Source organism: Homo sapiens, chromosome X (assembly GCF_000001405.40).
Source record: "Homo sapiens chromosome X, GRCh38.p14 Primary Assembly".
Lineage (NCBI taxonomy): Eukaryota > Metazoa > Chordata > Mammalia > Primates > Hominidae > Homo > Homo sapiens.
The window spans coordinates 132862525-132879726 of NC_000023.11; the positions used below are offsets into that span (position 1 = coordinate 132862525).

The window sequence follows — 17202 nt, forward strand, 5'->3', positions numbered from 1 at the left end:
ATCAAAGTACTTGTATCTGCATCATGTCAATACCATAGCTACTGGCCACACTAGCTATTTACATTTTAATTAATCAAAACTAAACAAAATTAAAACTTTAGTTTCTTAGTCACACTAGAAACATTTTCAATGCTCAATATTCACATGTGTTAATGGCTACCAGAGTTAGGTGGTGCTAGTATTATAAAACATTTCCATCATTGCAGAAATGTTTATTGGCCAGACCTGTGTAGGGTTGCCGTGACAACTAAATATTTCATGGAAAGCACTTAGTACACAATCTAGCACATAGTAATCACTTTATGGTAACCGTAGTTGCAGTAGTGAAAGTTTGAACCACGAAGTACCTACAAGGAAAATGGAAAGGATCTACATCAAGAAAGCTTATCTGCACCTCAAAGTAAGAGATCATTTAGAAATCAATGGCTGAGGAAGCTGAGGAAATTCACCTGTCTGATCAAGGTGAACAAGCAGGGCCTCAGCCCCAGAATACAATTTCAAAAGGTGTTTGGATTCTTCAGGATTGGGATCTGGCACCCTCTGCAGAACAACCTCTCCTGGAAAAGAGGTGGTTTTCTCAGAGACAATATGCATGGAAGTATTTCAACTCTGTTCTCCATGGAACATTCACTGTCTGTAATTTGGTGTCTTGAGTGAAATCCTCACACAAGAGTGCCTCTTAAGGGTCTGAGCAATCAGTGTCAGTTGGCAATATAATTAGTAAATAAACAAACTATCACGTTAGAGTTATAGATCAGTGACTTATACATTTGCCTGTTTTTTCCACTTTTATTACATATTTATTTATTTAAAGAGACAGAGTCTCACGCTGTTGCCCAGGCTCAAGGGCAGTGGCACAATCATGGCTCACTGCAGCCCCCAATTCCTGGGCTTAAGTGATCCTCCCAACTCAGCCTCCCGAGTAGCTGGGACTGCAGGCGCACAGTGACACACCCAGCTAACTTAATTTTTTTTTTTTTTTTGAGACGGGGTTTCACTGTGTTGCCCAGGCTGGTCTCAAACTCCTTGCCTCAAGTGATCCTCCTGCCTTGGCCTCCCAAACTGCTCGGATTATAGGCATGAGCCACTGCATCTGGCCATATTTGGTTCTTAAAATCATTCCTCCAAAGTTTGATAAACTCTGGGTGAGCTGATGAAACTGAATTGAGGATCAGCAAAGTAAAAGACTTCAGGAACTTAATCAAGGGAGTTTCTACCCAAGAGACTCTATTTAAAAAGAGCTCTTCTTTCCTCATAAGCATCGTATCCACTGCAAACAAGAACCACTTATCTTCATCCCTAAAAATATCCATCAGTATGCAGACAATTAAATATTGAAGAAGGCTTACTATGCCTGCTAAACATTACTCAAGAATGAACGGGCAGCAATCTTTGCTGTTCTGCAGCCTCCGCTGATGATACCCAGGCAAACAGGGTCTGGACTGGACCTCCAGCAAACTCCAGCAGGCCTGCAGCAGAGGGGCCTGACTGTCAGAAGGAAAACTAACAAACAGAAAAGAATAGCATCAACATCAACAAAAAGGACATCCACAGAGAAACCCCATATGAAGCTCACCAACATCAAAGACCAAAGGTAGATAAATTCATGAAGATGAGGAAAAACCATCACAAAACGGCTGAAAATTCCAAAAACCAGCACGCCTCTTCACCTCCAAAGGATCACAACTCCTCGCGAGCAAGGGAACAAAAATGGAAGGAGAATGACATGGACGAATTGACAGAAGTAGGCTTCAGAAGGTGGGTAATAACAAACTCCTTCAAGCTAAAGGAGCACATTCTAACCCAACACAAGGAAACTAAGAACCTTGAAAAAAGGTTAGAGGAATTGCTAACTAGAATAACCAGTTTGGAGAAGAACATAAATGACCTGATGGAGCTGAAAACACAGCATGAGAACTTCACGAAGGATACACAAGTATAAACAGCCAAATTGATCAAGCAGAAGAAAGGATATCAGAGATTGAAAATCAACTTAATGAAATAAAGTGTGAAGACAAGATTGGAAAAAAAAAGAAAAGAATGAAAAGGAACAAACAAAACCTCCAAGAAATATGGGACTATGTGAAAAGACCAAACCTACACTTGATCGGTGTACTTGAAATTGATGGGAAGAATGGAACCAAGTTGTAAAACACTCTTCAGGATATTTTCCAGGAGAACGTCCCCGACCTAGCAAGACAGGCCAACATTCAAATTGAGGAAATACAGAGAACACCACAAAGATACACCTCCAGAAGAGCAACCCTAAGACACGTAATCATCAGATTCACCAAGGTTGAAATGAAGGAAAAAAATGTTAAGGGCAGCCAGAAAGAAAGGTCGCGTTACCCATCAACGGAAGCCCATCAGACTAACAGCAGATCTCTCTGCAGAAACCCTACAAGCCAGAAGAGAATGGGGGCCAATATTCAACATTCTTAAAGAAAACAATTTTTTTTATTATTATTATACTTTAAATTTTAGGGTACATGTGCACCATGTGCAGCTTACTTACATATGTATACATGTGTCATGCTGGTGCGCTGCACCCACTAACTCGTCATCCAGCATGAGGTATATCTCCCAATGCTATCCCTCCCCCCTCCCCCCACCCCACAACAGTCCCCAGAGTGTGATGTTCCCCTTCCTGTGTCCACGTGATCTCATTGTTCAATTCCCACCTATGAGTGAGAATATGCGGTGTTTGGTTTTCTGTTTTTGCGGTAGTTTACTGAGAATGATGATTTCCAATTTCATCCATGTCCCTACAAAGGACATGAACTCATCATTTTTTATGGCTGCATAGTATTCCATGGTGTATATGTGCCACATTTTCTTTATCCAGTCTATCATTGTTGGACATCTGGGTTGGTTCCAAGTCTTTGCTATTGTGAATAATGCCGCAATAAACATACGTGTGCATGTGTCTTTATAGCAGCATGATTTATAGTCCTTTGGGTATATACCCAGTAATGGGATGGCTGGGTCAAATGGTATTTCTAGTTCTAGATCCCTGAGGAATCACCACACTGACTTCCACAATGGTTGAACTAGTTTACAGTCTCACCAACAGTGTAAAAGTGTTCCTATTTCTCCACATCCTCTCCAGCACCTGTTGTTTCCTGACTTTTTAATGATTGCCATTCTAACTGGTGTGAGATGATATCTCATTGTGGTTTTGATTGGCATTTCTCTGATGGCCAGTGATGGTGAGCATTATTTCATGTGTTTTTTGGCTGGATAAATGTCTTCTTTTGAGAAGTGTCTGTTCATGTCCTTCGCCCACTTTTTGATGGGGTTGTTTGTTTTTTTTCTTGTAAATTTGTTTGAGTTCATTGTAGATTCTGGATATTAGCCCTTTGTCAGATGAGCAGGTTGCGAAAATTTTCTCCCATTTTGTAGGTTGCCTGTTCACTCTGATGGTAATTTCTTTTTCTGTGCAGAAGCTCTTGAGTTTAATTAGATCCCATTTGTCAATTTTGGCTTTTGTTGCAGTTGCTTTTGGTGTTTTAGACATGAAGTCCTTGCCCATGCCTATGTCCTGAATGGTAATGCCTAGGTTTTCTTCTAGGGTTTTTATGGTTTTAGGTCTAACGTTTAAGTCTTTAATCCATCTTGAATTGATTTTTGTATAAGGTGTAAGGAAGGGATCCAGTTTCATCTTTCTACATAAGGCTAGCCAGTTTTCCCAGCACCATTTATTAAATAGGGAATCCTTTCCCCATTGTTTGTTTTTCTGAGGTTTGTCAAAGATCAGATAGTTGTAGATAGCAGCGTTATTTCTGAGGGCTCTGTTCTGTTCCATTGATCTATATCTCTGTTTTGGTACCAGTACCATGCTGTTTTGGTTACTGTAGCCTTGTAGTATAGTTTGAAGTCAGGTAGTGTGATGCCTCCAGCTTTGTTCTTTTGGCTTAGGATTGACTTGGCGATGCAGGCTCTTTTTTGGTTCCATATGAACTTTAAAGTAGTTTTTTCCAATTCTGTGAAGAAAGTCATTGGTAGCTTGATGGGGATGGCATTGAATCTGTAAATTACCTTGGGCAGTATGGCCATTTTCACGATATTGATTCTTCCTATCCATGAGCATGGAATGTTCTTCCATTTGTTTGTGTCCTCTTTTATTTCCTTGAGCAGTGGTTTGTAGTTCTCCTTGAAGAGGTCCTTCACATCCCTTGTAAGTTGGATTCCTAGGTATTTTATTCTCTTTGAAGCAATTGTGAATGGGAGTTCACTCATGATTTGGCTCTCTGTTTGTCTGTTGTTGGTGTATAAGAATGCTTGTGATTTTTGTACATTGATTTTGTATCCTGAGACTTTGCTGAAGTTGCTTATGAGCTTAAGGACATTTTGGGCTGAGACGATGGGGTTTTCTAGATATACAATCATGTCGTCTGCAAACAGGGACAATTTGACTTCCTCTTTTCCTAATTGAATACCCTTTATTTCCTTCTCCTGCCTGATTGCCCTGGCCAGAACTTCCAACACTATGTTGAATAGGAGTGGTGAGAGAGGGCATCCCTGTCTTGTGTCAGTTTTCAAAGGGAATGCTTCCAGTTTTTGCCCATTCAGTATGATATTGGCTGTGGGTTTGTCATAGATAGCTCTTATTATTTTGAGATAGGTCCCATCAATACCTAATTTATTGAGAGTTTTTAGCATGAAGGGTTGTTGAATTTTGTCAAAGGCCTTTTCTGCATCTATTGAGATAATCATGTGGTTTTTGTCTTTGCTTCTGTTTATATGCTGGATTACATTTATTGATTTGCATATATTGAACCAGCCTTGCATACCAGGGATGAAGCCCACTTGATCATGGTGGATAAGCTTTTTGATGTGCTGCTGGATTCGGTTTGCCAGTATTTTATTGAGGATTTTTGCATCAATGTTCATCAAGGATATTGGTCTAAAATTCTCTTTTTTCGTTGTGTCTTTGCCCGGCTTTGGTATCAGGATGACGCTGGCCTCATAGAATGAGTTAGGGAGGATTCCCTCTTTTTCTACTGATTGGAATAGTTTCAGAAGGAATGGTACCAGTTCCTCCTTGTACCTCTGGTAGAATTCGGCTGTGAATCCATCTGGTCCTGAACTGTTTTTGGTTGGTAAGCTATTGATTATAAGAAAACAATTTTCAACCCAGAATTTCATATCCAGCGAAACTGAGCTTCATAAGCAAAGGAGAAATAAAATCCTTTACAGACGAGCAAATGCTGAGAGATTTTGTCACCAATAGGCTGCCTTACAACAGCGCCTGAAGGAAGCACTAACATGGAAAGGAAAAACCAGTACCAGTCACTGCAAAAACATACAAAATTGTAAAGACCATCGACACTATGAAGAAACTGCATCAACTAACAGGAAAAATAACCAGCTAGCATCATAATGAAAGGATCAAATTCACACATAACAATATTAACCTTAAATGTAAATGGGCTAAATGCCCTAATTAAAAGACAAAGACTGGCAAATTGGATAAAGAGTCAAGACCCATCAGTGTGCTGTATTCAGGAGTCCCATCTCATGTGCAAAGACACAAATAGGCTCAAAATAAAGGGATGGAGAAAGGTTTACCAAGTAAATGGAAAGTAAAACAAAGAAAGGGTTGCAATCCTAGTCTCAGATGAAACAGACTTTAAACCAACAAAGATCAAAAAGACAAAGAAGGGCATTACATAATGATAAAGGGATCAATGCAACAAGAAGAGCTAACTATCCTAAATATACGTGTACCCAGTACATGAGCACCCAGATTCATATAGCAAGTTCTTAGAGACCTATGAAGAAACTTAGACTCCAACACAATAATAGTGGGAGACTTTAACACCTCACTGTCAATATTAGATCAGCAAGACAAAAAATTATCAAGGATATTCAGGACTTGAGCTCAGCTCTGGACCAAGTGGACCTAACAGACATCTACAGAATTCTCCACCCCAAATCAACAGAATATACATTCTTCTCAGCACCACATGGCACTTATTCTAAAACTGACCACATAATTGGAAGTAAAACATTCCTCAGCAAATGCAAAAGAACAGAAATCATAACAAACAGTCTCTCAGACCACAGTGCAATCAAATTAGAATTCAGGATTAAGAACCTTACTCAAAACCTCATGACTACATGGAAACTAAACAACCTGCTCCTGAATGACTACTGAGTAAATAACGAAATTAAGGCAGAAATAAATAAGTTCTTTGAAACCGACGAGAACAAAGACACTACATACCAGAATCTCTGGGACACAGCTAAAGCAGTGTTTAGAAGGAAATTTATAGCACTAAATGCCCACAGGAGAAACTGGGAAAGATCTAAAATAGACACCCTAACATCACAATTAACAGAACTAGAGAAGCAAGAGCAAACAAATTCAAAACCTAGCAGAAGACAAGAAATAACTAACATCAGAGCAGAACTGAAGGAGATAGAGAGACGAAAAACCCTTCAAAAAATCAATGAATCCAGGAGGTATTTTTTTTTTAAAGACTAACAAAATAGATAGAAGGCTAGCCAGACTAATAAAGAAGAAAAGAGAGAAGAATCAAATAGACACAATAAAATGATCAATGGGATATCATCACGGATCCCAAAGAAATACAAACTACCATCAGAGAATACTATAAACACCTCTATGCAAATAAACTAGAAAATCTAGAAGAAATGGGTAAATTCCTGGACACATACACCCTCCCAAGAGTAAACCAGGAAGAAGTCAAATCCCTGAATAGGCCAATAACAAGTTCTGAAATTGAGGCAGTAATAGCCTACCAACGAAGGACCAGATGGGTTCACAGCTGAATTCTACCAGAGGTACAAAGAAGAGCTGGTACTATTCCTTCTGAAACTATTCCAATCAATAGAAAAAGAGGGACGCCTCCCTAACTCATTTTATGAGGCCAGCATCAACCTGATACCAAAACCTGGCAGAGACACAACAAAAAAAGAAAATTTCAGGCCAATATCCTTTATGAACATTGACGTGAAAATCCTCAATGAAATACTGGCAAACCGAATCCAGCAGCACATCAAAAAGCTTATCCACCATGATCAAGTCAGCTTCATTCCTGGGAAGCAAGGCTGGTTCAACATATGCAAATCAATAAACGTAATCCATCACAAAAAGAGAACCAATGACAAAAACCACATGATTATCTCAATACATGCAGAAAAGGCCTTTGATAAAATTCAACATGCCTTCATGCTAAAAACTCTCAATAAACTAGGTATTGATGGAATGTATCTCAAAATAACAAGAGCTATTTAGTACAAACCCACAGCCAATATCATAATGAATGGGCAAAAGCTGGAAGGATTCCCTCTGAAAACTGGCACAAGACAAGGATGCCCTCTCTCAACACTTCTATTCAACATAGTATTGGAAGTTCTGGCCAGGGAAATCAGGCAAGAGAAAGAAATAAAGGGTATTCAAATAGGAAGAGAGGAAGTCGAATTGTCTCTGTTTGCAGATGACATGATTGTATATCTAGAAAACCCCATCGTCTCAGCCCAAAATCTCCTTAAGCTAATAAACAACTTCAGCAAAGTCTCAGGATACAAAATCAATGTGTAAAAATCACAAGCATTCCTATACACCAATAATAGACAAGCAGAGAGCCAAATCATGAGTGAACTCCCATTCACAATTGCTACAAAGAGAATAAAATACCTAGGAATCCAACTTATAAGGGATGTGAAGGACCTCTTCAAGGAGAACTACAAACCACTGTTCAAGGAAATAAGAGAGGACACAAACAAATGGAAAAATATTCAATTTTCATGGATAGGAAGAATGAATATCATGAAAATGGCCATACTGCCCGAAGTAATTTATAGATTCAATGCTATCCCCATCAAGCTACCATTGGCTTTCTTCACAGAATTGGAAAAAACTACTTTCAAGTTCATATGGAACAAAAAAAGAGCCCATGTAGCCAAGACAATCCTAAGCAAAAAGAACAAAGCTGGAGGCATCACGCTACCTGACTTCAAACTATACTATAAGGCTAGAGTAACCAAAACAGCATAGTACTGGTACCAAAACAGATAAATTGACCAATGGAACAGAACAGAGGCCTCAGAAATAATACCACACATCTACAGCCATCTGATTTTGACAAAACTATCAAAAACAAGCAATGGGGAAAGGATTTCCTATTTAATAAATGGTATTGGGAAAACAGCTAGCCACATGCAGAAAACTGAAACTGGGCCCCTTCCTTACACCTTATACAAAAATTAACTCAAGATGGATTAAAGACTTAAACATAAGACCTAAAACCATAAAATCCCTAGAAGAAAACCTAGGCAATACCATTCAGGCATTGGCATGGGCAAAGACTTCATGACTAAAAGACCGAAAGCAACTGCAACAAAAGCCAAAATGGACAAACGGAATCTAATTAAACTAAACAGCTGTGCACAGCAAAAAAAAAACTATCATCAGAGTGAACAGGCAACCTACAGGCAACCTACAGATTGGGAGAAAATTTTTGCAATCTACCCATCTGACAAAGGGCCAATATCCAGAATCTACAAGGAACTTAAATTTACAAGAAAAAAACAAACAACCCCATCAAAAAGTGGGTGAAGGATATGAACAAACACTTCTCCAAAGAAGACATTTATGTGGCCAACAAACATATGAAAAAAAGCTCATCATCAGTGGTCATTAGAGAAATGCAAATCAAAACCACAACGAGATACTATCTCATGCCCAGTTAGAATGGTGATCATTAAAACGTCAGGAAACAACAGATGCTGGAGAGGATGTGGAGAAATAGGAATGCTTTTACACTGCACTGTTGGTGGGAGTGTAAATTAGTTCAACCATTGTGGAAGACAGTGTGGCAATTCCTCAAGGATCTAGAACCAGAAATACCATTTGACCCAGCAATCCCATTACTGGGTATATACCCAAAGGGTAATAAATCATTCTACTATAAAGACACATGCACACGTATGTTTATTGCAGCACTGTTCACAATAGCAAAGTTTTGGAACCAACCCAAATGCCCATCAATGACAGACTGGATAAAGAAAATGTGGCACATATACACCATGGAATACTATGCAGCCAGAAAAAGGATGATTTCATGTTCTTTGCAGGGACATGGATGAAGTTGGAAACCATCATTCTCAGCGAACTAACACAGGAACAGAAAACCAAACACCACATATTCTCACTCATAAATGGGAGGTGAACAATGAGAACTCATGGACTCAGGGAGGGGAACATAACTCACGGGGGCCTGTTGGGGGAGTGAGGGGCTAGGGGAGGGATATTATTAGGAGAAATATCTAATGTAGATGACGGGTTGATAAGTGCAGCAAACCACCATGGCATGTGTATACATATGTAACAAACCTGAACGTTCCGCACATGTATCTTAATACTTAAAAGTATAATAATAAAATAAGAAAACAAATAGTCCTCATATTGTCAGCAGTGTAAAAATGCTCTTCTTTCCAACAAATGTGTTAAGCTCTAGCCACTGTGTTCCCTTGCCTTCCAACACCTTTTTAGGGGGTCACTTCTCACCAAGATTAGTTGGTATGTGCTAAAGACATGAGCACATTCCAGTATTATTCTGGGGCACGAAACCTGCATCTACTGGGAGTAGGAAGATCTCCAAATGATTCACATCGGTTGTCCTTTATTGGTGCAGATAACTGATTGATAGTCGTAGTCATTCATAGTCCGACTCAAGATATCAGTTTAAAATCCCATATAAATAAGGTCCTTGTACTAGATTTTGAAAGTCAGTCTTTCAATTACCTCTCCACTTGTTTATACTACCTGTATGGAAAATATTGCAAAGAACAGCCTGTCTCCTATGAGCTTTTTTAAGCCTCAGAATGTTAAAGCTGGTGAGGGACTTAGAAGGGACTAAGAGACTCCTCGTTTTACAGATCAGGATGCAAGAGGGAATGGAGGAGAAGTGACTTACCAAAGGTCACAGCTAATTACTGGCAGAGTCACTAGAACCAATATGCACTCATTCCCAGCAGAGTGCTTCTGGAACAAAATCAAGTGCTTCTGTAGTATTTTGCACACATAACAATAACTCTTGGAATTTAACAGATCCCTTAATGTGATCATATAAACTCTGTAAGGCTTGCTTATTATTTAATACATACAGTGTTCATAACCAGAAAAGGTTTATTGAGAAGCTGACTCCTTATCCCTTTGGGATACTAAGAAACTACCAAGATTGCTGTGTTTTGAAAGCAGGAAAAAATAAATCAATGTGAGATCATTTCAGAATTTTATCACACAAAGAGGCCTTACAACATAGACACTTTTAACAATAAAAAAAGGTAACCATGATAAAATCGATAAAACGCTCTCTTTCTGAACAAGCTGATCAAAGCTCTGCAGAGGCCCAGAGCTTTCTTCCAAGAGTCCTTCAGGAGTAAAAGCAATGCACTGCTGAGTCCCATGGCTAAATCACTTGAATGCCCAGCCATTCCCAACCCAGCCCATCACTTCCTGCAATCTCTCAAAACTGCATTAAGGCCAGTTAAACATCTCAGGAACCAAAAATCATAAAGAAGAGGAAAACGTTGTCACTGGTAAACACTGAAATATGTAACATGGCTATTTTGCGATGGGGTGCTCAATGCCAAGTCTACATGAGGCACTAATTGCTCTGTTTTACTCTATTACTGCTACTGTAAATGCACAGGATCAGGCTCGATGCTCCACTCACTCCTTTTCTACTATATGGGTGATATAAGCTTGTTGCTCTTTCTAGCCCCACACATCCTCTTACATTTCTTCCAGGGAAGACAGGAAACTAAGTTATTCTATGGGTGACAACAAGAAGCTTTGGGTCATCACTCATGCATCTATCTTAATATCATGTTATTCCAGAGCCCTCCTTCCCAGCAATTTTCCCATGCCCTCAGACCTCTGGTTATGAAAAGATATTAAAATACCAGCATTTGGTTTGAGAATTAGATGCCTCTGTGGCAAACTTCATTAAAGTGCATTTGCCTGAAGCATCCATTCATATTTATGGAAATCATATGCCCAGCACTGTGTATGCATAAATGAAATATGCACTCCCTGCTCTTAGGAAGCTCATAGTTTGGTGGATCTGGGTCTTATTAATCACTAAATTCCAGCATAGACTTAATTTCAAAACACATTTGTTGATTGACAAGGGAGGGAGAGAATGAATGGATGAATGAATGAATGGCTTTAAAGACATGAGCAGTCATCGGTTAAACAAACTTATGAACTTGTTAAGAATAGAAGTATCCATATACTGAATGAGCAGCAACAAGCACTAGATATGGGATCTGGAGAGGAGAGAATTGCCCTGGACCTCGGGTGAAATTGTGAGCAGCCCTCAATGCAGGTTCTTAAGAGATGAAGCCAAATCTCACCGTCCCCTTGGCAGACAAATTGTCCTCCAAGTGAAGAGACATTGTCTTTATGCATTTGACAGCCTTCTACACCTCTCTGCTTCTGAGAGCAGTCCCACACACCAGATTTCTCTTCATGCAGCCAGAGGCCTTGTACACTGCCCTCCGCGAGGTCTATCGATAACCCTGAAACTACAGGCTTGCCCTAGATCAGAGAGGGCACTTCCAGAGCATTCCTGCTCTGGCCTTGGGAATGATCTGTGTGTACTTTAGACAAACATGTGATCCATAAAAACTTGCAAGAAGAATTTGGCCTAGAGCTGCCCCTGCAAAAAAGAAAGATTTTGAATCAATTAACACAACCAACTATGCAACTTTGTTTCAATTTTAAAACACCTTCCGGCTGGGCATGGTGGCTCACTCCTGTAATCTCAGCACTTTGGGAGGCTGAGGCAGGCGGATCACGAGGTCAAGAGATTGAGGCCATCCTGGCCAACATGGTGAAACCCCGTCTCTACTAAAAATACGAAAATTAGCTGGGTGTGGTGGCACACACCTGTAGTCCCAGCTACTCAGGAGGCTGAGGCAGGAGAATTGCTTGAACCCGGGAGGCCGAGGTTGCAGTGAGTGGAGATCATGCCACTGCACTCCAGCCTGGCAAAAGAGCAAGACTCAGTCTAAAAACATAAAACAAAACTAGCAAAAAAAACACCTTCCTTAGGGCACAAGAGAAGCCAAAGAGGTCGGTCATGATAGAGACCTCCACACAACAGCCCAGGATGCCAGATCATAGTCAAACTCCGCAGTAATGATGAGAAGTCTCTCATGGTTCCTTGGGACCCCCACATGTGTTTCCACCCTTTCCAACTGGCTATGTGAGAATAGAAAACCCAAATCCCAGCTCAGTCTTGGTCTAGCACAACATCTGGCCCAAGATGACTGCCAAAGACCTCCCCAGACTTGAGTGGTTGTTCTGCCATGTGGGAGAGGTTCCCCAACACCTCCTCCTCTGGAAGGGGGGGGCGGCCCATGGCAGAAAATGGGCAGCAGAGAGTCAGGGATGTTCTCTCTGCCTCTACCTCAGAGACAGCCAAGAGTATGAAGTCCAAGTAGAGCAGAAGTCCAAGAGTAGAGGAAATGAAGTGCACCCCCCAGTGACAAGAAGCTGTTGAATACTCTCTAATGAGAAGCATGATTCTATGAGGTAAGCAATGAAGCTACAGGGAATGCCAAGGCCTGTGACAGGAAACAGGTAGCTGGGGAAGGAGTTCAGATTGGAGACTATGGTTCCAGCAGGTGGCATGTATTGCCAACTTGATTGTCACAGCAGGCACCCAAGGTGTTTATGCATCCCCCAGAGTAAAGAGTGAGCGAAAAGGGCAAACTGATTTTAAACATGGGAGTTTAAATGTAATGTTTGCTTCATTTCAAGGTTCAGGTTCATGATTTAAGTGGTTTGAGGATCCTTGGTTAGAGTTCACGTCTCTGGAGATGGAGCTTTGGTATCTGTATGCCCAGCCCTGCTGGATGGGTAGTGAACAATCTTAAAGTCCCCAGTCTGCAAAGGCTAGCGGGCCTTTGTGAAAAAAAAAGTGAAAAAAATGTGAAAAAAAAGTCAGGACCTCAGCCAGCTGTTTCCTTTATCTCTCTCAGCCTGTGTCAGCAGAGCCAAGGTGTCTGGGCATTTTGTTATGGGCTGAGGATCTTGTAAGTTTACAATTGGCACAGATCTTTCTGGAAAGCTCCTCTTGGGGAGCCTCGATGAATGGCAGGGGAGACCTTGAATGAATTCATTTTCCTTAGCTGATAGAAATGGGGATGTAACACCTCTGTGGAAAAACACACTTAAGCCCAAAGTCTACAGCCAAAGGCTTGGACTAGAAGTAGATGTTTTATTTTAAAATCCAGCATGCTTTGAAGATCACAAACTTTGCAGGGGGTGGAGAAAGTGAAGGGACACACTTGGTTCTACACGACACTCTGTTTGCTGTTAGCCCATAAAAATACTGCCTCAGGGTATTCAAAAGGATGTGAAGTGATCCAAGAAAAAAAAAAAACTCAGCCTCTTTGGAAGAGATTTTGTAATTGAAGGTTTTTGCCAACTGGTCATTTCAATGTGGGAGATTTAAAAATGACCATGGTCCTACAATGAGAGGCTTCAGTAATGAGAAGATCCTGAAATACCTCTCTTCCAAAATGCAGGTCTATAATCAGGTGCTGTGACAAATATGTGCTTGCTTGTGTAATCCTCTGAGCACCCCAACCCCTTTGTGTTGAAAATGTCAAGGTACAAAGGGGATTGGAAGATGGGCAATTTGTGTGAGAATGGAAGGCTTAATCTACCTTCACCTTAGGCAAATTTCATTAACCTTTGAGATACCAGTCCTCAACTACTAGAGAACTGAGACCCATCCAGAGTTACACAGGCATCAGGTGCTAAGTTAATTGGAATCTGGATCTCCTGACCTTCCTGAATCTTTCAGTAGTTCTTTCAGGGGTAGAGCTTTAAGTGAGGCTATTTGTGATCTGGAGACAGAATAACAGCTTATTTTCAAGTAATCAGCATTGCGGGTTAGGTGTTTACCATTAGGATTGTCTTTCCTTGCAAGTTTTAGTTTTGAGGCTTTATTGCCTTTGGTCCCAGGAAAGATAAATCAGCCACAGGGTGGAGAGGTTCTGGGAAGTATGTGTGGGTGGGAAAAAGAGGGATAGAGGGAGGGAGGCGAGTGCACAGTCCTGAAGGAACACCCACTCCTTTATGGTGGGAGGGGGGTGAGAGACAGCTGAAGAGGCAGAAGAGTGAGTGACTGCTAAGGAATTAGCTCTGGTTCCAGCCCACCAGCAGGGGCCCCAACACTCCTTGATGTTAACCCTTGGTTTACCTTGGCAAAGAAAAATCACACTCCTTTGCTGGCAGCTGTCATTGCTGTTTCAATACAGATAACACCTTCAAGTGGGAAATGTAGAGGGGAAAACATTTTTCTTAGTTTTCTTCTAAAAAGCCAAGGCAGGAGTATGTGTAAGTAAATATGATATTTCCTCTACATCAAGGACATGAATTCTAAAAGAATAATATTTAGTCCTTTTTATTGGCTGCCATTCAAAGGCCTGGAAACATTTACTAGCAAATTTAATTACTCTGCATTTTATAGCTGAGAAGTTGGAACTAACAAGGCTACACTTTTTTTAAGTTGCCTAATCCAAGGTACAAGCAGCCTGATTTAAATGCACATCCCCCAAGGGCTGGAAAAGCCTCACATCAGGACAGTCCCGAGAGGGGAATTCATATCCAGGCAACATTTATTAAACACCTCCTATTTGCTAAGCACTTCCACATATGTTATTCTACTTAATCCTCACAATAACCCAATAAGAAAGGTAGGCATTTACATGTCTATTTTACAGATAAGAAAAAAATGAAGCTCTAAAAATGGAAATGTACTACGTGTGTTTGCACTTATAATTTCTTAAAGGTTTGCACGTATATTCGTTCTTCTAATCCTTACAGCATTTTTTCAAATTATGTATGCCAGATATTAATATTTACAAAGCTTAAAATGAGGAAACTACACTCAGAAAACTGAAGTAACTGGAAGTCACCCTACTAATCTGTAGCAAGTCTGGGGCTTGAGTCCTTCAGCTCTAACCTCTCAGCTCTGTCCACTTAGGGTCAGACCCCGTTTCACACAGGCCATTTGACTCAATGAATGCTGCCCAAAAGGATCAGCTCGGTATAATAAGGAAGGTTGTTCCTAGAGCAAACATGCAGGTGCCAAGAACTATGTAAGACACTGTAGGATCGAATCCAAACTGTGTACTTGCTTTTCTCAAGCATCTGCTAGTCAAATGGGACAGTGGCTAGCAGCTCATTGAACCCTACAATAAGCTACACCTTGACAAGCAGGGAACATAAGAGAGCAGATGATGAAGCCCTTGGTACTAACAGTGATAAACCCATAAATTCTATTGTATGGAAAGGGGAGACAGGAGAGGCATCTTGGAGGAGACGGTCTTGGAAATCAAGTAGGAGATGGAGTTGACTGGCATTCCAAAAGAAGGAAACCACTTGAGTAAAAATATTTAAACGGAGGAGGGGAAAATAGCCATTTGAGGGATACAATATAAAACCTCCTCGGGCAAGATGTATTCCTTAATAAACAGTTGTAAAATTGCTACTGATGCAGGAGTTTCTGCTCCCTGGCTCAGTTAAATCCAGGTTCTCGTCTCATGACTAGGAAGAATTAGGCATGCAGACACATTAAAGGGTGAAGAGGGCAGAATTTATTAAGTGAAAAGAAAGCTCTCAGTAAGGAGAGGGGTCCTCCAAGCAGGTTTCCCCCTCACAATTGAATACCAGGGCCACCACACAAGAACTGATGAGGCCAGGCTCCACCCCTGCATAAGGTGTGAACTCCTAGTGGCTCCATCCCATTCCCCCAGTGGGCCTCCAGTATGCTGTGGGCATGCCCAGGCAAGCCCCCTGTGCAGGTTCCCTTATCTGCACAAAACATCTGGTGTCAACACTTGTGGGGCAGGTCGGAGATTCTCCGGGGACCTTTCCCTATCTGCCTAGGGATTTGGCTGTCTCCTGCCTCTATCACTGCCAAGGCTGTAGCAATTGGATCAGCTCATGTTCAATGTGAATTCTAAAGTGAACAGAGATTCTATGCTACACAGAGTGTACTTGCTTTTTTCTTTTTCTTTTTAATGCTCAAAGATGGTGAATGATGCCAAACGCCAATGAATAGCTTCTAAATAACAATAGAAAGGAAAACAGAATTGCAAAGACTGCACAAAATATTACTTTTAAAAAGTAAGATCATTTGGAATATAAATAATCATAAACCTATCATATTGTCAAAATGTGGAACATTTGTCATAAGGTACCACATCCAAGATACCACATACAATCAGACAATTTTCTTGGATATTACGACTCTAATATAGAGCACCACAAAACGCTTCCCTGGCACCCTGAGCTAGTCCCAATCCTGAAATAAAAACCAGCAAATAAGTAATGATGCCTGGGAAAGCAATATTTGAAAACCCCATTTCCAAGATGAAGAATGTCATAAAAACAAATTAAATAAATTTCACCCTAGCCAGCAGTGCCCCAGTTGGTCAAGTTCCCCAAACAGATTGCTTGACAAAAACCAATACAGTTCACGAGAATTTCTAATTACAAGCATTTAAGGAATTAGGATCTATGTTGAATTAGCAAGTTGGAATGCAAAACTCACAGTTCCAAGGGCCTTCTACCGCTTCTCCCTAAGCAGGAGAATAATCAGTACTGGCTTAAATCACATACAAAGTAGCTGATACTACAGGGGCTAACCTCATGGGGAATTATGACCCTGTAACTAGAGTCCTGTGCTAAGGTGTGCTAAGGTGAGCTAAGATTGAAAATGCTCCCCCATCACACTCATTGCCTAACAGCCACCCATCATAGAAATCCTGTGCATCATAAAGAAGAAAGCTTGTTCTAAACTGTAACCCATTTCAGGCCATTGTAAATGTAGAAAGTGTGGCTACATCTCAACTCCTGAAAATACATTCTTTTGGGCCTTGTTTGAAATCCTATCACATCCTGGTAAGTACAACAAGAAACTGACACCCTCCTAGGACTTGATTGAAAACCTATACTATTCAACCACAAAGAGGTGGTTAAACTAAGGAAGCACAGGGTTTCTCTCAAGGAGGCTTAGCCAGGCTGTTATGGTTGAAATCAGAGGAGTCTGAATTTTCAGGCCAGAAGGAACCTTAGAAATCAGATTTTGACTTCAGTTCAATCTTCAATTCAACTTATTCTAATCCATTACATACCAATTGAAT

General features: G+C 40.7%; 1 protein-coding gene across 10 annotated transcripts in view, besides 1 other annotated feature; it reads right to left on the bottom strand.

Moving 5' to 3' along the window:
* Positions 1–17202, bottom strand: part of HS6ST2 (heparan sulfate 6-O-sulfotransferase 2) — a 335356-nt gene that overhangs the window by 236510 nt on the left and 81644 nt on the right. The window lies entirely within an intron of this gene.
* Positions 13498–14030: an enhancer, noted in NCBI's record as "OCT4-NANOG-H3K27ac hESC enhancer chrX:132010050-132010582 (GRCh37/hg19 assembly coordinates)". NCBI's record gives its function as "activates a minimal SCP1, AML or CMV promoter by ChIP-STARR-seq in naive H9 embryonic stem cells {active_cell/tissue: H9 hESC(naive)}" and the evidence as "EXISTENCE:reporter gene assay evidence [ECO:0000049][PMID:30033119]".